We start from the raw sequence: 20,051 nt of genomic DNA, 5'->3' as shown, positions 1-20,051 counted from the left end.
TTTATACCTAATATTTGTTCATATATATGTTTTTCACATTCTTTAATATATCTTTCTCTTCACCTTACTCAGACTGCACTGGTTTAATGTTATAAAAATATAGGCACCCAGTAACTACTTTTTATAAAGTAAAACAAGGTTAATATTAACTAAATTATGACAAAACATTTTTAAAGTGTAATAAAATTATTTTGTGTTTCTCACAACAGCCAAAAGTGATCCTTCCTAAGATCGTCCATCCCAGAAAATTCCCATAGGTTTTAGAAAATTAGGAAACCTGAATTGTTAATATTGAAGTATCTTTTTTTTTTTTGCCATACAAATGGCTGGTTTTAATTTTTTTTAGAGGAAATACTATAATTTAAAAAAAAGAGTTCCAAAATATTTAACAGAATCTCCAGCAATGATTATTTCCAAAATGTAAAGATTTGAAACATAATTTATACAAAACTAAAAACCACAAGGATTCATTCTTGCTTTTTCCTTTTTTAAAAAATCCAGACAATTTGTCACAAGAAAGTTCGGCATGGGATAGCAGCTGTAGCCTCAGTCACCCTTGGAATCGCTGTCCCTCTTCATGAGGACAGAGCGCCGCACTGAGGAGAGCAACACGTCTTCAATCGGCTTCTTAGGGTTTTCCTCCAGGTCTGTCGTAATTGCTCCAGATTCAGACAGTTTCCATTCCAACTCATCTCTTGTCAGGTTCATGCCGCCAAACACTCAGAGGACCAATAAACTGAGCCTTGATATCTCCTTCCAGGTAAACAAATATCGTGGGCAGATTCCTATCAGTATAATTGGGTATGCAGGTTGTTGAAATGGCTTTGATAAATTTGACATCAGGAAACTTCCTGGCAAGTCCACTGAGGTGCTGATTTATCAGGGCACAGAGGGGAATTCCTTGTTTGTAAAGGTGCAAGATGACCCACAAGCCCTCGCCAGCTTTGGTAACTTCTTGAACATAATCCTTCCCTGAGATCTCCAAAACTTTTCCAGATTTATTCTTCAGTTTAGTTGCTTTCCACTCAGCCAGTCTCTGCTGTCTGTACATTTCAATAGCACATTCATCCTCCTCATTAAACTCGCCTTCGTGATCCTCCAGCTCTTCCAAAGTCATATCTTCATATGTTTTCACCACTGACTGCTGGAGGATGCGCTGCTCCTCTTCTGCCTCCTCTTCCAATTCTTCCAATTCTTTCCTTGGCGGGTAAGAAACCCTTTTTGCGTAAGATGTCATTCCACTCAGTGTCTGCGTTGGGGTCCTGCATCTTGTTTCCAGTTCAGTTGCTCAAGCCAGCTGTGCCGCTGAAGTATCTTTTTAAGGTAATTACACTTGAAATGAAAATAGCAGTTTTGGCCAGGCACAGTGGCTCACGCCTGTAATCCCAGCACTTTGGAAGGCAGAGGCGGGCGAATCACCTGAGGTCGGGAGTTCGAGACCAGCCTGACCAACATGAAGAAACCCGTCTCTACTATAAATACAAAATTAGCCGGGCATGGTGATGCATGCCTGTAATCCCAGCTACTTGGGAGGCTGAGGCAGGAGAACCGCTTGAACCCGGGAGGCGGAGGTTGCAGTGAGCCGAGATTGTGCCACTGCACTCCAGCCTGGGCAACAAGAGCGAAACTCTATCTCAAAAAAAAAAAAAAAAAGAAAGCAGTTTTTTGGAAGCTGTAAATTTACATCAAATTAATCATTAAGAAAACTGAAGACACTCTTAAATTAAGAAGTAATCATCTGGGCACGGTGGCTTATGTCTGTAATCCCAGCACTTTGGGAGGCCAAGGCAGGCAGATCACTTGAGCCCAGAAACTAGAGACCAGCCTGGGCAACATGGTGAGACACCCCATCTCTACAAAAAAATTTAATAAAGAAAGAAGGAAGAAAAGAAAGAGAAAGGAAAGAAAGGAAATAAAGGAAGGAAAGGAAGGAAAGAAAGGGAAAGGAAAGGAAGGAAGAAAGAAACAGAAAGAAAGATAGAGAGAGAATCAGGCTGGACACGGTGATACACACCTGTAATCCCAGCACTTTGGGAGGTGAAGGTGGGAGGATCACTTGAGTTAAGGAGTTTAAGACCAGCCTGAGCAACATAGTCAGACCTTGTCTCTACAAAAAATGAGTTAGCCGGGCGTGGTGGCGCATGACTGTAGTCCAGTTACTTGGGAGGCTGAGGTGGGAGGATTCCTGAGCCTAAAGTGAGCTGAGATCGTGCCACTGCATTCCAGCCTGGGTGACAGAGCAAGACCCTGTCTCAAAATAAATAAATAAATGTTTAAAAAAATAGGAAAGAATCAGCATATGTTGGTCACAATACTGAAAGTCATGGTAAAAAGTGCAATTACTTTTGCACCAACCTAATAATTTCGATACGGCAGTTTTGCCACAGCCTGAATGAACTTTTCTCCTGTCCTTCCACATTCTCAGCATTTGAGCTATTTAACAATGATATTAGCTATCATGTTTTTATTTTTTGAGACAGAGTCTCACCCTGTTGCCCAGGCTAAAGTACAGTGGCACAATCTCGGCTTACTGCAACCTCAACCTCCCGGGTTCAAGTGATTCTCCTGCCTCAGCCTCCCAAGTAGCTGGGACTACAGGTGCATGCCGCTATGCCCGGCTAATTTTTTGTATTTTAGTAGAGACGGGGTTTCACTGTGTTGGCCAGGCTGATCGTGAACTCCCAAGCTTAGGCAATCCGCCCGCTGTGACCTCCCAAAGTGCCGGGATTACAGGTGTGAGCCACCGCGCCCAGCCTTTTTTGCTCTTGTTGCCCAGGCTGGAGTGCAATGGCACGATTTCAGCTCACTGTAACTTCCACCTCCTGGGTTCAAGCAATTCTCCTGCCTCAGCCTCCTGAGTGGCTGGGGATTACAGCCGCCCACGACCACGCCCTGCTGATTTTTTTGTATTTTTAGTAGAGACAGGGTTTCACCATGTTGGCCAGGCTGGTCTCAAACTCCTGACCTCAGGTGATCCAACCACCTCAGCCTCCCAAAGTTCTGGGATTACAGGCGTGAGCCACCATGCCAGGCCGATATTAGCTATCATTTATAGAACACTTGCTTTGTGCCAAATATTCCATTAATAAGCACTTTTAAGAACATGTTGCATTTAATCTTTTTAACAGTTCTGTAAATTAGGAAACTAAGTCCTGGTAAGGTTAAGCAATTTGCCTGTAGTCACACAGTTTATAAATGGCAGAAACAGATTTGAATCCATGTCTTAATCCACGGCTTATACATGAGCTTAACCACCTCATACACACATATACGCAGCCTCAGAATATATATTCTGGGAGAAATATTAAGCTATTATTAAGGAATAGTTCCTGTTATAAACTACTTGTTAATTTATTTATGAGACAGAATCTCACTCTGTTGCCCAGGCTGGAGTGCAGTGGCACTATCTCAGCTCATTACAACTTCGGCCGAAGTGATTCTCCAGCCTCAGCTTCCCAAGTAGCTGGGACCACAGGCACAAGCCACCACACCCAGCTCATTTTTGTACTTTTTTTTTGTAGAGAGGGGGTTTTGCCATGTTGCCAAGGCTGATCTTGAATTCCTGAGCTCAAAGTGATCTGCCAACCTTGGCCTCCCAAAGTGCTAGGATTACAGGTGTGTGCCACCACACCTGGCTGTTACAAACTCTTTAATCATCAGTAAATCTGCTCTCCTTGAATTTAATATACCTTCAGCACATTACTATTAGGAGATGGAATTTTATCACAAAAAAAGCATGGATGTTTTCTTTCTTGCCTTTTTATTTCATAAGGTTTGGTTATGCCCATATGGACCTGGCTTGAGCACTGCTGTAGAAAGTTTTCAAGCAGCTCCTGAGACTGAATCTCTAGAACTCTTTGATGGGGAGATTCCTTCTTTTAGCACTGAGAGGGCATGGCTCCACAATGCTACTGTGGCTGCTTTGAAGAGCAGGGAGCCCTCTGCAGTGACCCCACTTATGAAACCAAAACCTTATGCCATATTTCAGGACAATGAACCAATTAATAAGTTTCACACGTTTCCAAACAAAAGCATGTACTACCTGAAAAAAAAATGCGCACACCTCAGCCATGACAATCACTTAAAGGTAAGATTATGTTCAGCCGGGTGTGGTGGTTCATGCCTGTAATCCCAGCACTTTGGGAGGCTGAGACGGGTGGGTCACCTGTGGTCTGGAGTTCCAGACTGGCGTTGCCAACTTGGTGAACCCCCGTCTCTACTAAAAATACAAAAATCAGCTGGGCCTAGTGGCGGGTGCCTGTAGTCCAAGCTACTAGGCTACTTGGGAGGCTGAGGCAGGAGAATTGCTTGAACCCGGGAGTCAGAGGTTGCAGTGAACTGAGATTGCACCACTGCACTCCAGCCTGGGCAACAGAGCGAGATCCAGTCTCAAAAGAAAAAAAAAAAAAGACTACGTTGATTTTTAGACATTTTCTTGGTTTTAATGGAAAGATACAACGTTTATCAACAAGGTCGCTTTGGTTCTGTGCTAAGCCATGGTGGAAATGAGATTATAGGGAGAGGTTTCACAGCCATATTCTTCTAGATACAGAACATTAAACAAGGAGCCATGATCAGTTCTCTAAGAATTGTTAATTAAGCCAACTGATCAGTAGCCACACTGGACAAACCACTCAGGTCAGGAGAAAATACCTATTCTTCATAGGCAATACAGTTGGATATAATATCTTCCAATACAGTATACCATTCTTATTCTCCCTCTCCTAAGCTTTTCTCAGGGGAAGAAAAATCAAAACTTGATATGACAAAGTCTCATTCGATCATACGCCATCACCTCTTACGTCAGCAGCAGAACCATATTCTTAGAAGGGGGCCCCTCGCCCTTGTGAATGAAGGCTCGCGCTTGGAGGAGGGAGTTATATCCAGGAGGCAGGGGCATTGGTCTTACACTGGTGGTGGCAAAGGACAATGTGAGGTGGCTCACGTGAGCACCGGGCAGGTATTACACCCTAAGGTAAGGTTACAGCCTCTGAGGTGTGATATGGGGCAGAGGATGAATAAATAATCACCATGGTTCTCAGATGTGGGCTGGGGAAAGGGAAGAAGTTGATAAGGATGAGTCTTTGCTTAAATCAAATGTAAATAATTCAAAATGTAAAATACCATATTTCCAAAATGTAAAATAACTGTTGACACTTGGAATACGGGCTGGAGATGACAGAGATGGGGAAGGGACACCTATGAAAGGTGCCTGAAGTGAACATTTCCAAGTAAGAAATGAGATAGAGCTTACCTTTTGGATGTCTTGTGCTGTTTCTGAAAAATAAAAGTTTTTTTTCAAGTTTGAGAATGAAAATGTACCTCCTATATAAGTAAGCACTAATATTTTATAGAACTTAGAAACTTATTACTAGTAATTGAAGCCCAAGTGACTTCTGGGCCCTATAGATCTAATTTTCAGAAAATCCCTGTCAGCTCTCCCAGCTGCATACCCCCACACTACATCAAACAACCTTACATGCATCTGAGCACTAGTTGTCTTCCTTAATCCCTGACAGCCATTAACTAATTCATGTTCAAGATATTTCAAAAGCTTCCGAACAAAAATGTGTTGTTTCCTGAAAAAGAAATTGCACATGCCCCATGCCATGACAATTATGTAAAGATGATATTGTTTCTGCTGATTTTTTGACATTTTATTGGTTTTAACTGAAAGATGCAGCCTTCTTGCAAAGAAGGGGTGTTGCCAGTGGAATTGTGGGGAGAGATTTACATAGCCACATCCTTAGAGAAGACACCCTTAGAGCTAGCCTAATTATGGGTGTCTCCCCTTTAAAGATGATTACGGAAGCATATGAAGTCCTTCCCTCTCCACAGATCCCATCCTCCGAGGAAACAACAGTTAACAGCTGAATGTTTATCGTTCCAGCTCCTGCACTACTCCCATCCCACCATAACTGTTTTGCTTTTATTTATTTTTTATTTTTTTTGAGATGGAGTCTCGCTCTGTCATCCAGGCTGGAGCGCAGTGGCACAATCTCGGCTCACTGCAGCCTCTGCCTCCCGGGTTCAAGCGATTCTTGTGTCTCAGCCTCCCCAGTAGCTGGGATTACAGGCATAAACCACCATGCCTGGTGAATTTTTGTATTTTTAGTAGAGATGGGATCTTGCCATGTTGGCCAGGTTGGTCACGAACTCCTGACCTCAGGTGATCCACCCTCCTCGGCCTCCCAAAGTGTTGGTATTACAGGCGTGAGCCACCACGCCCAGCCTGTTTCACTTTTAAAATAAGGATTCAATATGCAACTTTGTATATTCTGCTAAATATACGTGGACACTCTTGTGAACAGGTAGAGATCTTCTTTATTTTTGACAGCTGTAGAATATTCCATTGTGTGTATGGATGTATTACAATTTCTTTAAGTATATTTCCAACTGCATGGGCATTTTTATAGAGTGTCCTGCTACAAATACTGCAAAGAACAAACTCCCACATAAATCCGTCTGCATGTGGGTAAGTACATCTCTGCAGGTGAAACTGTTGGGTTAAGAGGATATGTACATTTTTAAATTCAAACGACTATTACCAAATTTTGCCCCTGAAGCGTTGCAAAAACTTACTCCCACCAACAGTTTTGGAGTGACTATTTTTCTATATGTTTTGGCCACGTTCATAGTTTTTTCCCTTCTATTTATTTCATTTAAATGTATGGATTTTCTGATTATGAATATGGATGGCCATTTAAAATTTTTATTGCCAGTTTGTGTGTTTTTGTGAAACTGCCCTATTCTTTTTTTTTTTTTTTTTTTTTTTTTTTTGAGTCCTTTGGGCTGGGCGTGGTGGCTCACGCCTGTAATCCCAGCACTTTGGGAGGCCAAGGCGGGTGGATCACCTGAGGTTGGGAGTTCGAGACCAGCCTGACCAACATGGAGAAACCCCATCTCTACTAAAAATACAAAATTAGCCAGGCGCGGTGGCACATGCTTGTAATCCCAGCTACTCGGGAGGCTGAGGCAGGAGAATCACTTGAACCTGGGAGGCAGAGGTTGAGGTGAGCCGAGATCGCGCTATTGCACTCTAGCCTGGGCAACAAGAGCAAGACTCTGTCTCAAAAAATAAAAAAATAAAAAAAAAAATAAAAGAGTCCTCTGTCTTTTCTTTTTGATGTATGGAGTTTCTTTATATAATAGGAATAATAATCTTTTTATGCCTGTCAAATATATTACAAGTATTTTATGTCATTTGACTGTATATTTTATTTTAAATTTTATTATTATTATTTTTTGTGACACGGTCTCACTCTGTTGCCCAGGCTGGAGTGCAATGGCGTGATCTCGGCTCACTGCAACCTCTGCTTCCCAGGTTCAGGCGATTCTCCTGCTTCAGCCTCCCAAGTAGCTGGGATTACAGGCACGAGCCACTGGGACTGGCTAATTTTTGTATGTTTAGTAGAGACGGGGTTTCACCATGTTGGCCAGGCTAGTCTCGAAGTCCTGGCCTCAACAGAGCCGCCCGCCTCGGCCTCCCAAAGTGCTGGGATTACAGGCGTGAGCTACTGTGCCTGGCTTTGACTATATATTTTATAATGGGACACTTTTATTTACAGAAGTTAATCTTTTTGTAATCAAATCAAATCTGTCAATATGTAATTTATCTGGTATTTATTTATTTTTGTGTGGTTTGATTTAGTGAATATCAACAAGAATGAAACAGGAAAATATATTTTACGACTTACCACTGGTCTTCAAAACTTTATGTGACCGTGAGGAAGGTTCTGGGAGACAAAACAAAGCCAGCATCATTGGCAAAACCAAATCAAACCTTTTTCTTTATTCTTTATAAGAGGATTATGAGCCTATTGACAGATTAACAGAGCTCTATAACTTTTGTATCAAATTTAACAAAATCCCCATTGCTCAGAGATACACAGGAGCAAGACATTCACTCTGCTAAAATGGTAGAATAAATGTTATGCTGTGTTATCAGGAGTCACCCAACAGAAAAGCAAAATCTGACTTTTTCAGTCCTGTCAGTAGCAGAGCAGCTTCCTCAGCTTCACTAACACCTATAAGCTGATGATGTTCAATTGTACATTCTTTTTTGGAGACTGAGATTCACTCTTGTCTCCCAGGTTGGAGTGCAATGGTACGATCTCGGCTCCTTGCAACCTCTGCTTCCCAGGTTCAAGTAATTCTCCTGCCTCAGCCTCCCGAGTAGCTGGGATTACAGGTATCTGCCAACATGCCAGGCTAATTTTTGTATTTTTAGTAGAGATAGGGTTTCACCATGTTGGCCAGACAGGTCTCAAACTCCTGACCTCAGGTGATCCTCCCACCTCAGCCTCCCGAAATGCTGGGATTACAGGTGTGAGCCACCGCGCCCGGCCTTATTTGCATTTTTTGTCTCTCGCACCATGAGCTCCTTGCAAGCAGGAGTCACGTGGATTATTTATCCTTGCATTCCTAGTCCTTAGCAAAGCATAAAGTGGGTAATGAATAAAGACTGCTTCAAATAAAACCCCAAACCTGTCTGAACTAAGACAATAGTTCATGGAGTCTGGTGCAGCAAATATGAATTAAAATTTTAGCTTTGGATAATCTTTTGTGTGTGTCACTCATAGGACGTGATTTTTCATTAGCAACAGCAAATACAGCTTAAGTATCTGCATGTCAATGGTAAGATGTACAAAGCAAAATTAGTTGACTGGCATGCTTGATAGTCACTGGGAAACATTAAGTAGAAAAGAGGTTTTTTTTTTTTTAGACAGAGTCTCACTCTGTCGCCCATGCTGGAGTGCAGTGGCACGATCTTGGCTCACTGCAACCTCCGTCTCCTGGGTTCAAGCGATTCTCCTGCCTCAGCCTCCCAAGTAGCTAGGATTATAGGCGCACACCACCACGCCTGGCTAACTTTTATATTTTTACTAGAGATGTGGTTTCTCCAGTTGGCCAGGCTGGTTTCGAACTCCTGACCTCAGGTGACCCACCTGCCTCGGCCTCCCAAAGTGCTAGGATTACAGAGAAAAGAGTTTTAGATCAAAAGCTCATGAGTCCCATCTTAAGGCAGCCGCAAATGTATTCAGACCGGCAGTGAGCTGAGAAACCAGACAGAACATTCCCTTTTGTCAGACTCAAAGGGACTTTCATTGCCAGTCCCCCATTAGAATTAAATTTTTATGACAACATCTTACTTACCAGATTTTCTTCTCAGCCGATATGGAGCAGAACCTTCTTTAGAGCCGAACAGTGCTTTCGTCCCTCCCTCAGGACTGTAACAGAAGCCTGGATGATCTGTAAAGATAACCACGTGCATCAGTGGGACTGTGGTGTCAGGGGCTTCTCAGAAAATGGTTATGGCTAGTGTAGATTTATATGGATTTATTATTATTATTATTATTATTTTTGAGACAGAGTCTTGCTCTGTCACCCACGCTGAAGTGCGGTGGCATGATCTCGGCTCACTGCTGACCTCCACCTCCCAAGTTCAAGTGATTCTCCTGCCTCAGCCTCCCGAGAAGCTGAGACTACAGGCGCGTGCCACCATGCCTGACTAATTTTTGTATTTTTAGTAGAGATGGGGTTTCAACATGTTGGCCAGGCTGGTCTTGAACTCCTGACCTCAGGTTATCCACCCACCTCGGCCTCCCAAAGTGCTGGGATTACAGGTGTGAGCCACCATGCCCGGCCTATATGGATTTATTCTTTTTCATCTGACATGGATATGATCCTCCTCCCATAATTGCTGCTGTATATGTATCTCAGGGCTTTTTGTTTACATTGGGACTTCTAGGAGTCTATTAGCTGGGATGACAGGCGTGAGCCACCACACCCGGCCAAAAAAAAAAAAAAAAAATCCGAAGGCAATTTCTGCAGGTAAAATGTTGATGTCTAGAGAATACAGCCTAGCACTCCGCTGGGGAGCTCTGGGCATCATTTCTCGGGTCTGTTGGATGCGAGATGGGAGCCTCAGCTGCAGCGATGGTGGGAATGCACCTGTTTCCACTTTGCTGATGCTGCTTTTCCCCCTGGGGAGTTAACAAGTGCCAGGCTGGAGGGAAGGGAATCAACGTTTGCACTTGATTCCTCGAAGTAAGGTCTTATGAAAGGGTTAAGTAAAGTAGAAGTGTTTTCAGTACAAGTTTCCAGCAGACCTGACTGCATTTAAAGCCACTGTTTTCTCTTTTTATTCTATTTAATCTGAAAAATAACAAAGATGTGATAACTGCTGTTGAATAAGGTCTTATTTAATAGGAAGGACCTGTAACATTTATTCTCTCCTGCTTTTGTAAGCCTAGAAATATATGCACATATGTGGGGTGGTTGTGATTTTAGAAGTTTCTGCTGCATCAGGAAAACCAATACTACGAAGTGATTGCGATTCTTGCAGATAATCAACATTTTGTTAGGGATGAAGTGAGAAATGCATTGTTAAGCTCTGGTTTTTGGTGGTGGTAGAGGTTGGGGCAGGGGTAGGGGTAGAGTTGACCCTGGAGACATAACTGACATTGTTAGTTGATGCAGAAACCCCAACAGTGGCCAGCCATCAAGGGACTCAGATAAACCTGGGAGAACCAATGTAGAAACAAGTCAATGTGCTTAGAAGGGATTATACTGTCTACCCAATTTGTGAAAACAGTGAATAGAGAGATACTATTTTCTAACAATCGACATTTTCATGAACTTTAAGATAGAAAATGTGATAGATACAAACAGACAATGAAATTTCAAATTGTTTTAAGGAAATAAAACTTACGAATGGCATCCATTTCAAGGATTGCTTGCTTGGCCTGAAAGAGAGAAAGTAGAGCTGTAATTCCAATTGCTTTTTTTTTCTTTAAACTCCAAATCTCAACACAGATCTTATCCCACCTGAATAAATAGATTTTTAAAAACGTTTAAAAACTCGCTATTTATGTTAAGCATTTACACACAGTGCAGGGAATTCAAGCAGATGAGCGCCCTCAAGTGGGTAATAGCTGCTACACCATCAAGGCACCGGAGCTAAGACTGCACCCCCAATCCTGTGAAAGAGGAGGGAGGGAGGCTGGTTCCGAAGCCTGGCTGATCATCAGCACTCATTGGCCAGCTTATTAAAAATGCAGATTCTCGGCTGGGCGCGGTAGCTCACGCCTGTAATCCCAGCACTTTGGGAGGCTGAGGCGGGCAGATCACAATCACAAGGTCAGGAGTTCAAGACCAGCCTGGCCAATATGGTGAAACCCCGTCTCTACTAAAAATACAAAGATTAGCCAGGCATGGTGGCGGGTGCCTGTAATCCCAGCTAACAGGGAGGCTGAGGCAGGAGAATCGCTTGAACCCAGGAAGCGGAGGTTGCAGTGAGCCGAGATTGAGCCACTGCACTCTAGCCTGGGCGACAGAGCAAGACTCCGTCTCAAAAAAAAAAAAAAAAAAAAATGCAGATTCTTGCCACCCAACCCTGATCTACTGACTCAAAAGCTCAAGGCACGGAGCCTGGTATCTTTATCACCAGCCCTCACCATGACACTATGGCCTTGTAACTATTTTGAGTTAATTGCAAAATGGCTGCTGGAAGTTTCCTCTCATTGTTGTCTTTCCTCCTGCAGAATGCTGTGATTATCATGAGCTAAGTCTCTCTGTTTCCCCAACTCCCTGCACCTCCCATCTCTTCTGTGTGCCCCAGAATCTCCCAGAGTGAGACGGCCCTGAAGGACAATGTCTGTGATCCCAGCTCAGGCACTTCACTAGGTGGGTGCTCTCCGAGCTCAACTGGACAGTGGGATCAGGGAGCCTCTCTTTCAGAATGGTCATTAGGATTCAATGATCAGCTCAACTGGTGAGTTCCACCCACTCTCCTAGGGCAGGGGTCCCCAACCCCCGAGCCACAGACTAGTACTAGTTCGTAGCCTGTTAGGAACTGGGCCGCACAGCAGGAGGTGAGTGGTGGGCAAGCGAGAGAAGCTTCGTCTGGATTTACAGTGGCTCCTCATGGCTCGCATTACAGCCTGAGCTCTGCCTCCTATCAGATCAGTGGCAGCATTAGATACTCATAGGAGTGTGAACCCTACTGTGAATTATGCATGCGAGGGATCTAGGTTGCAGCACTCCTTGTGAGAATCTAATGCCTGATGATCTGAAGTGGAGCTGAGGCAGTGATGCTAGCACTGAGGAGCAGATTAACGTTAGCAGAGAGGTTTGACTGCACAGAGACCATAATAAATCAATTGCTTGCAGATTCATATCAAAACCCTGTCAGTGAGTGTCAAGGAGCAATTAAGCTGCATCTGGTGGCAGGCTTTATCGTGGCAAGTGAGTTGATGTACTTCAATTGTACAGCTGCATCTGGTGGCCTTAAAAGTATGTTTGAGGCCGGGCGTGGTATCTCACGCCTATGATCTCAGCACTTTGAGAGGCTGAGGCGGGCAGATCACGAGGTCAGGAGTTCAAGACCAGCCTGACCAACACGGTGAAACCGTCTCTACTAAAAATACAAAAATTAGCTGTGCGTGGTGGTGTGTGCCTGACATCCCAGCTACTCAGGAGGCTGAGGCAGGAGAATTGCTTGAACCTGGGAAGGCAGAGGTTGCAGCACCACTGCACTCCAGCCTAGGCAACAGAATGAGACTCCATCTCAAAAAAAAAAAAAAAAAAAAAAAAAAAAAAAGTATGTTTGAGACAACTTCAAACCTCCTTACATTCTGGATTAAAGTCCAGGCGAATATCCTGAGATTGCCACAAAAGCACAAAAGCCTGCTTCCATTTCCAACATCCTATCTTTGTGAAGCAGGGTTTTCTGCAGTGACAGTGACCAAAATAAGATGAGAGCAGACTGGACATAAGCAACACACTTGGGGTGTCGCTGTCTCCCATCACCCCCAGATGGGACTGTCTAGTTGCTCAGGGCTAGAACAAGCTCAGGGCTCCCACTGATTCCACATTATGGTGAGCTGTAGAACGATTTCATTATATATTACCATGTAGTAATAGAAATAAAGTGCACAATAAACGTAATGTGCTTTCATCATCCCAAAAGCCTCCCCCTGCCTCCATCCGTGGAAAAATTATCTTCCACAAAACCAATCCCTGGTGCCCAAAAGGTTGAAGACCACTGTCCTAGGGGATTGTAGCCTTTCTTGCCTCTTTAAAGTTATTTTCATTTTTTAAGGGTAGTATAATTTAACCTACAAAACACTATGCTAAAAATAACTTTTAAAATAATTTTACTCTATTTTGCTACCATCTGTGATATCCCAGTACAAATATTTCGGCTAAGTGGCGATCACGTTTAGTGAAAAAGTGTGGGGCTTGGGGGAGCCTCAACACAGTCACCTTAGAGAAAACAAATGCTTCAATTTTTGTAACCTGATAGCTATCTCTCTCATACATTCAGAGTTTGAGATTATGAGTTGAAATTACTTGCAAACACAAATGTTAGCTCAGTCTCTCTCTGGGAAGTGCAATTACAGAAACATACTAATATATAAAATGCAAAATACCTTCACCTTTATTTTCAATTAATTTGGAGAAGAGTTAAATTTATTTACCACATATACTAATGGGCAATATGGCTATTTCCAAGAAGTTCCCTGGTATCTGTAAAGCTGACTTCAAGAATTTTTTTTTGTCTGGACATTTAATTTTTAAAGTACTGTTTCCAGGATTTCCACTAGGTGTCAGCCAAGGACCATCATTGAATTAAAAGAACGGAAGGCAGCTGGGAGGCTGTAACTAATGAGTTTCCCACAGCTGTGTTGACATTATTAGACTGGTGATACATTTCTTGATGTTTAAAATTTCCCACTATGCATTCATTTCACAGAAATAATAGAAATACATTTTGAAAACTTTAGGAAAATAAGAAATAATCTCGAGGAAAGATGTGGAAAGTTCACTTTAATGATAATCCTGCTTAAATAGAAAATTATGATTACATTATAGTGAATAAAGTATATTAGACAAGCGTGTTTGAGGCTGGGTGTGGTGGCTTGTGCCTGTAATCCTAGCACTTTGGGAGAGGCTGAGGCAGGTGGATCACTTGAGGCCGGGAGTTCGAGACCAGCCTGGCCAACATGGTGAAACCTCATCTCTACTAAAAATACAAAAATTAGCCAGGTGTGGTGGTGTGCGCCTGTAGTCCCAGCTACTCGGGTGGCTGAGGCACAAGAATACTTGAACCCAGAAGGTGGAGGTGGCAGTGTGCTTTTTCTTGTATGGAGATTGCACCACTGCACTCCAGCCTGGGTGACAGAGTGAGACGCTGTTTCAAAACAAAACAAAACAAAAAAAGGTGTTTTTATTGCCAGTGGGAATAATGTGGTTAGGATGCTCTTTGGAGCCAGATAGACCAATCCAGGCTTGGTCATGTACTAGTTATATAAACTTGGGCAGTTTATTTAATGTCTCTCAGCCTCTGTTTTTATTTTTTCTAGAATGGGAAGAATAAGAACTACCTCATAACATATTTTGGTGAGGGTGAAATAAGAATATAAAGTACTCAGCACAGTGTGTATGCTCAATAAGTTGTAACTGAAAAGATGTTTTTAGATAGAAAGGATCGACAACTTGGGGAGAAAGTACGATGTTATATTGACTATATTAACCATTTGAATACTTAAAGGGAACTTCCTGAGGCACACACGCCTAGCGTGGGAGAAAGACAGGTATGTAAGGGGGTCTCATTTTGTAACTGCCTTTCAGAATCTTGTTAGCAATTTTGATTTTCCCAGCAGACAGGTAAACAATGGGTGGGGCCCATCAAAGATACTCTGCCATTGCTCAGAAGGGCATTCTAAGGCACCAGGCCAGCAACAAAATGACTAATCATAAAGAAAATGCAGTCCCCTCTCTGCATGAGCTCCCTTTCATCTCATAACACCCTGACGAAATGAAAACTCATGCTTAGGTCCAAGTCCACACCTATGCACATTCATTTCCTGAGGACCAAATCATTGCTGGCAGTCCTGAGAACAAGCTTCAAATGCTTGTCAAAATATACAGAGAACAAAACAGACTGTCCCCTTTCTCAGAAATCTCAGCCCTTATTTTCCACCCAGTTCAATTTTCATGATCATCATCCCATTGTCTGCTCCACCTCACTCCTCCCAGCCCCAACTTGGACTGTTTCACCATCCATGTGAATAATCCACCCACCACCCTAGTTCCTTGACCACTTTCTAATGACCTTTTCCTCCACTCCAGAGCAGCAGCACAGAATCAGAGCCACCTCCAGAACCTGATCACACTCAAAACCGTCCCACCTCTAAGGCAGGACTCCAAAAGTCCCTTCTTCAATTACAGATTAGGGTATTTCCTTCTCTCTCACATTAAGTCCTGCTGAACCGGGCTTTATGACAATACTGCAGTCCCTCACCCCACGCCTCTGTCGCCAGCTGGTTTTCCTCTTCACTCAGCCTAATGTCATGCCCAATTACTGCAACTGCGTGCTCACTGGCACCCTCCCCACCCCCGCCCTGGGAACCTTCCCCTACCAGCTCTGCCGGTTCCCAACCTGGAGGAACCCACACACACCACGGTTTTCACCAGTAGTTTCCAAGCTGCTGAGCAGATTTTGAAATGACGTCATCACACTGATTCATGGGGGCCAGCCTCAGTTGGGTCTTTGATGTCTTTCACAGGCTATTCTAGTCATCTCTAGTGACTGGTCCATTTTGTTTTTTTTTTTTTTTGAGACAGAGTCTCACTCTGTCGCCCAGGCCGTAGTGCAGTGGCGTGATCTCGGCTCAATGCAAGCTCCGCCTCCCGGGTTCACGCCATTCTCCTGCCTCAGCCTCCCGCGTAGCTGGGACTACAGGCACCCGCCACCACGCCTAGCTAATTTTTTGTATTTTTAGTAGAGATGGGGTTTCACCGTGTTAGCCAGGATGGTCTTGATCTCCTGACCTCGTGATCTGCCCGCCTCCGCCTCCCAAAGTGCTGGGATTACAGGTGTGAGCCACCGCGCCCGGCCAGCAAGTGTTCTTCTGATCCTTTCCACTTTCCCTCAGACACCCCTGCTCTCTGCTTCACTCACTCAGCAGATGACTTTATTATCTGCACGAGTGAAATCGAACCCTTTGTCTTCCCCCAAGTCCACCTCAAAGTTCCTCTGTCTTTCATCTTTTTCTCCCTTGGTTCAGAGAGATGCTTCCAGCCCTTTCCAAGATGAGCCCCTATTCCTGTGTGTCCCATCCTCTTCCTTCCCACCTCCCCAGGCCCCGTTCCAACAAGAAGTGAGCCACTGTCTCCTCTCCCACCTTCCTCCTCCTTCCCTGCCATCTGCTCATGGACTCGGCATTCGAGCCAGACGAGAAGTCTTGCTTTGCTCTTGCCTTTCTCTCCAAACTATCATTTTTTCTTCCTTTTGTGAACTTTACATATAAAAAAGTCTATACCCATTCCGTTCCTTCTTAATCCCCCTTTTTCTGCAACCCACTGTGATCTCTCCCTTTTCTCTTAGTTGCCAAATATAAAATCTGCTTTTCTGTTTAAATCTCCTTGACCTCGGCAGCCTTTGAGACTGTGTCTCCCCCATCTCTGAGATGTGCTTTTTCCTTGTTAGCGCAGTGCCTTCTCCTCAGACATCCTCCCTGCCTCCTCTGCTACTCTTTCAATCTTTCTTTGGCTGTTCTCCAAATCCCCCCACCCGCTTGCTGATCACTTAGATGTTGGGATTCCCAAGGGTTCATCTTTCCTTTGCACATTTTTGTGGGCCATCTTATTAAACCTTAGGGCTTCAATTACTGCCTCTAGCAAGAGTCTCCTGATCCTTAGCTTCCAAGACCTGAATTTCCACCTGTGGCTGACCCTGCCCAGCAGCACGGGTGCCAGTGAGAGCAGAGGGCTCCTCTCTCTCACTCCCATCTCACAGGTTCCTCTCCCTGCCTGTCTCAGAACTCACAGTACCATGCTCTCCTTCAACCCCTGACTCAGCCTTGACTTTTAGTGGGCAAAATCCTGCCTCCTGCCTCAGTGGCACTTTCTGCATTTGTTCCCTCTGTCGCTGTGGCTCCACGGCAGCACTGCTCAGCTCCTTTCTAGGCCATGGTGGTGGGTTACTATCTTCTCCAGCCTCCAACCTCACTCCTGCCACTTATTTGTCACCTTGTCCCCAAAGTTACACTCTCAGAACACAGGACTGACTGCGCCATCTCCCCTTCCTCCAAAGCCTGCAGTAATTTCCCAGTGTGAACGCGTCCAGATTCCTCAGAGCACATGCTCACAGCCCTCCAGGGGCTCCTGCCCTTCCCGTCCCTGCCCCAGCCCCTGCCTCAGTCCCTGAGAACTCAGCCCTCCCATCCTGGCACCGTCTGTGCGCCCTGAACACAGCGCATACATTCTCTCTTTTTTTTTTTTTTTAATGCAGGTCTCTAGGTCTGGTTTCCTTAATTCCTTTTTTCCCACTTAATAAAAATATTCCTAAGACTGGGCACAGTGGCTCATGCCTGTCATCCCAACACTTTGGAAAGGCTGAGGCAGGCAGATCACTTGAACCCAGGAGTTTGAAACCAGCCTGGGCAAGATGATGAGACTACACCTTTACCAAAAATACAAAAATTAGCTTGGTGTGGTGGCACAAGCCTGTGGTCCCAGCTATTCTGGGAGGCTGAGGTGGTGGGATGTCTTGAGCCCAGGAGGTCAAGGCTGCAGTGAGCCATGTTTGCACCACTGTGCTCCAGCCTGGGCGACAGAGTAAGATCCTGTCTTTAAAAAAAAAAAAACATTCCCTATCCTTTAAGACTGAGGTAAAAGATGTTTTCCTTCCTCTCTCCACTCAACGCAATTGAACACTTTATTCTTCCACAACACCTGGGTTATACTCTGTTATGTCTTCATGGTTGGCAAACGGTTCATGGCTTGGCAGCTGGCTCCCCATCTACAGATTCCTTCTTGGCCGAATCTGTATCTTGTCTCCCGAGCACCCTCATGGGACCCAGCACAGCTTTACACCCATAGGTGCTTCATGCACCTTTGAATAATTCTCATAACTTGATCTTCTTTTAAGCCCCAAAAGGAAAAACACCACCACCTCCACAGAGCCTGCAATTCATGTGAATCTTTTTTTTTTTTTCTTGAGACAGGATCTTGCTCTGTCACCCAGGCTGGAGTGCAATGGCACGATCTCGGCTTACTGCAACCTCCGCCTCCTGGGTTCAAGCGATTCTCCTGCCTCAGCCTCCTGAGTAGCTGGGACTACAGGCACGTGCTACCACACCCAGCTAATTTTTGTATTTGTAGTAGAGATGGGGATTCACCATGTTGGCCAGGCTGGTCTTTAACTCCTGACTTGAGGTGATCTGCCCACCTCAGCCTCCCAAGGTGCTAGTGCCTCCCAAAGTGAGCCACTGTGCCTGGCCCCATGTGAGTCTTTTTGATGTTAATGGCTGGTTTAGCTGAGATGTAGTTCCTATATATTCTATCTCTCAATTTTCTTTCTTTCTTTCCTTCCTTTCTTCCTTTCTTTCTTTCTTTCTTTCTTTTTCTTTCTTTCTTTCCCTCCTTCCTTCCTTCTTTCTTTCTTTCTTTTTTTTGAGACAGGGTCTTGCTGTCTCTACTAAAAATACAAAATTTAGCCAGGTGTGGTGGTGCGCACCTGTAGTCCCAGCTACTCGGGTGGCTGAGGCACAAGAGGTTGCAGTTTGCTTTTTCTTGTGTGGAGATTGCGCCACTGCACTCCAGCCTGGGTGACAGAGTGAGACCCTGTCTGGACCCTGTCACCCAGGCTGGAGTGCAGTGATGCAATCTCAGCTCACTGCAACCTCCGCCTCCCGGACCCAGGTGATCCTCCCACCTCAGTCTCCCAGAGTAACTGGGACTACAGGTGCGTGCCATCATGCCGGGTGCTAACTTTTATATTTTTTGTAGAGATGGGGGTATCACTTTGTTGCCCAGGCTGGTCTCGAACTCCTAGGCTCAAGTGTTCCACCTGCCTTGGCCTCCCAACGTGCTGGGATTACAGGCATGAGCCACATGCCAGCCTCTTTATTATGAAGTTGAACATTTATCCTATCAGGATGCCTTGCTGGGCTTCATTAGTAATTAAATGATCAGATTAACCGTTGTCACTCCCAGATTCTAATTCTAAACTCTTTTTTTTTTTTTTGACCCAGTCTCTTTGTTTTTATTTTGAGACAGTCTCACTCTGTCGCCCAGTCTGGAGTTCAATGATGTGATCTCGGCTCACAGTAACCTCCACCTCCCAGGTTCAAATGATTCTTGTATCTCTCTCCCATTTCACTGTGCATTATTCAGTGTCCTACCTTAGCTGGAATCTTGGCTGCATGGTTCTCCAGAATCAGTCTCTTTAGGTGCAGAACCCAGAGGCGTTTGTCTTGCTGGGATTTGGCCTGCCAAGACGAGATGTAGACAGTCAGACAACTTGATTCCACCACCCACAGGACCCTCTGATGAGATGGGAAATGACCATGTGGCCAGAACGCTCTCAAAAAGCCACATGGTACACAGCACTCATCATTACACAAAGGGGCCTTGCGGAGAGGCCAGGGCCCGGCTGCTACCTGGACTGTGTGCTGCAGCTTGGGATTCTTGTAGTGGAAGACGCTGAAGCTGAGCGGCTCTTTTGGAATCACCTCCACAAGCATGAGGTTGCCACACTAGAGCAGAGAGAGCAGAGAGGGTGAGGCACACTCAGGAGGGAACAGAACTGGGGATCTGAGTCCCTGCCCATGGCCAGCGTGCAGACCTACCAGGATGTGAGCTTTGTATGTAAACGTGTCATCTCTCTTCTTCGTGATGAGCAGCAGCTTGTCGAAGAGGAAGAGCGTCCGCTCATTCTTGGCTCGCTGGATGCGGAAGGTTCCCTCAAGCACCAGTTCCCCGTAGCTGGTCAGGTCTGGCCCCTTCCAGTTAGTGAGCAAACTCTGTATCTCCTGAGAAAGGGAATGGGCCATGGCATTTACAGGAGGCAGAAGCCAGGCACCAAGGGCTTGGTGGCCCATCTGTTGAGCCTCAAGAATGGTGCCAAATCGTCCCTGAGGGGGTCTAACTATCTACGTGGTATCTGATGGTCTATGACATAAATCTGCATTTACAAGTGGTGCCACTTAAGGGTTAACAGCAATGAATCAGGCTGTTAGCTGACAAGCTGCTAATTA

The 20,051-nt window shown here is 44.8% G+C and overlaps 1 protein-coding gene and 1 pseudogene across 10 annotated transcripts in view, besides 2 other annotated features; both read right to left on the bottom strand.

The window, feature by feature from the left end:
* PLEKHG1 (pleckstrin homology and RhoGEF domain containing G1) overlaps positions 1 to 20,051 on the bottom strand; it is a 243,781-nt gene that overhangs the window by 14,735 nt on the left and 208,995 nt on the right. For 9 of the 10 annotated variants that reach the window (NM_001329804.2, NM_001029884.3, NM_001329805.2 and 6 more), the window contains 7 exons: positions 19,644 to 19,826; positions 19,455 to 19,550; positions 19,197 to 19,283; positions 10,715 to 10,748; positions 9,157 to 9,252; positions 7,698 to 7,736; positions 5,255 to 5,277 (listed from right to left, as the gene is read on the bottom strand). In NM_001329804.2, coding sequence (NP_001316733.1) covers positions 5,255 to 5,277; positions 7,698 to 7,736; positions 9,157 to 9,252; positions 10,715 to 10,748; positions 19,197 to 19,283; positions 19,455 to 19,550; positions 19,644 to 19,826 — 558 coding nt within the window. The remainder of the gene's footprint in view (positions 1 to 5,254; positions 5,278 to 7,697; positions 7,737 to 9,156; positions 9,253 to 10,714; positions 10,749 to 19,196; positions 19,284 to 19,454; positions 19,551 to 19,643; positions 19,827 to 20,051) is intronic. The other variant, NM_001329802.2, reaches the window with a different exon arrangement.
* PDCL3P5 (PDCL3 pseudogene 5) lies at positions 311 to 1,306 on the bottom strand (annotated as a pseudogene).
* Positions 15,082 to 15,231: an enhancer, noted in NCBI's record as "active region_25278". NCBI's record gives its function as "activates an Ori minimal core promoter by ATAC-STARR-seq in GM12878 lymphoblastoid cells {active_cell/tissue: GM12878}" and the evidence as "EXISTENCE:reporter gene assay evidence [ECO:0000049][PMID:35858748]".
* Positions 15,472 to 15,571: an enhancer, noted in NCBI's record as "active region_25277". NCBI's record gives its function as "activates an Ori minimal core promoter by ATAC-STARR-seq in GM12878 lymphoblastoid cells {active_cell/tissue: GM12878}" and the evidence as "EXISTENCE:reporter gene assay evidence [ECO:0000049][PMID:35858748]".

Source organism: Homo sapiens, chromosome 6 (assembly GCF_000001405.40).
Source record: "Homo sapiens chromosome 6, GRCh38.p14 Primary Assembly".
Taxonomy (NCBI): Eukaryota; Metazoa; Chordata; class Mammalia; order Primates; family Hominidae; genus Homo; species Homo sapiens.
This window is presented reverse-complemented; position numbering and strand designations above follow the sequence as displayed.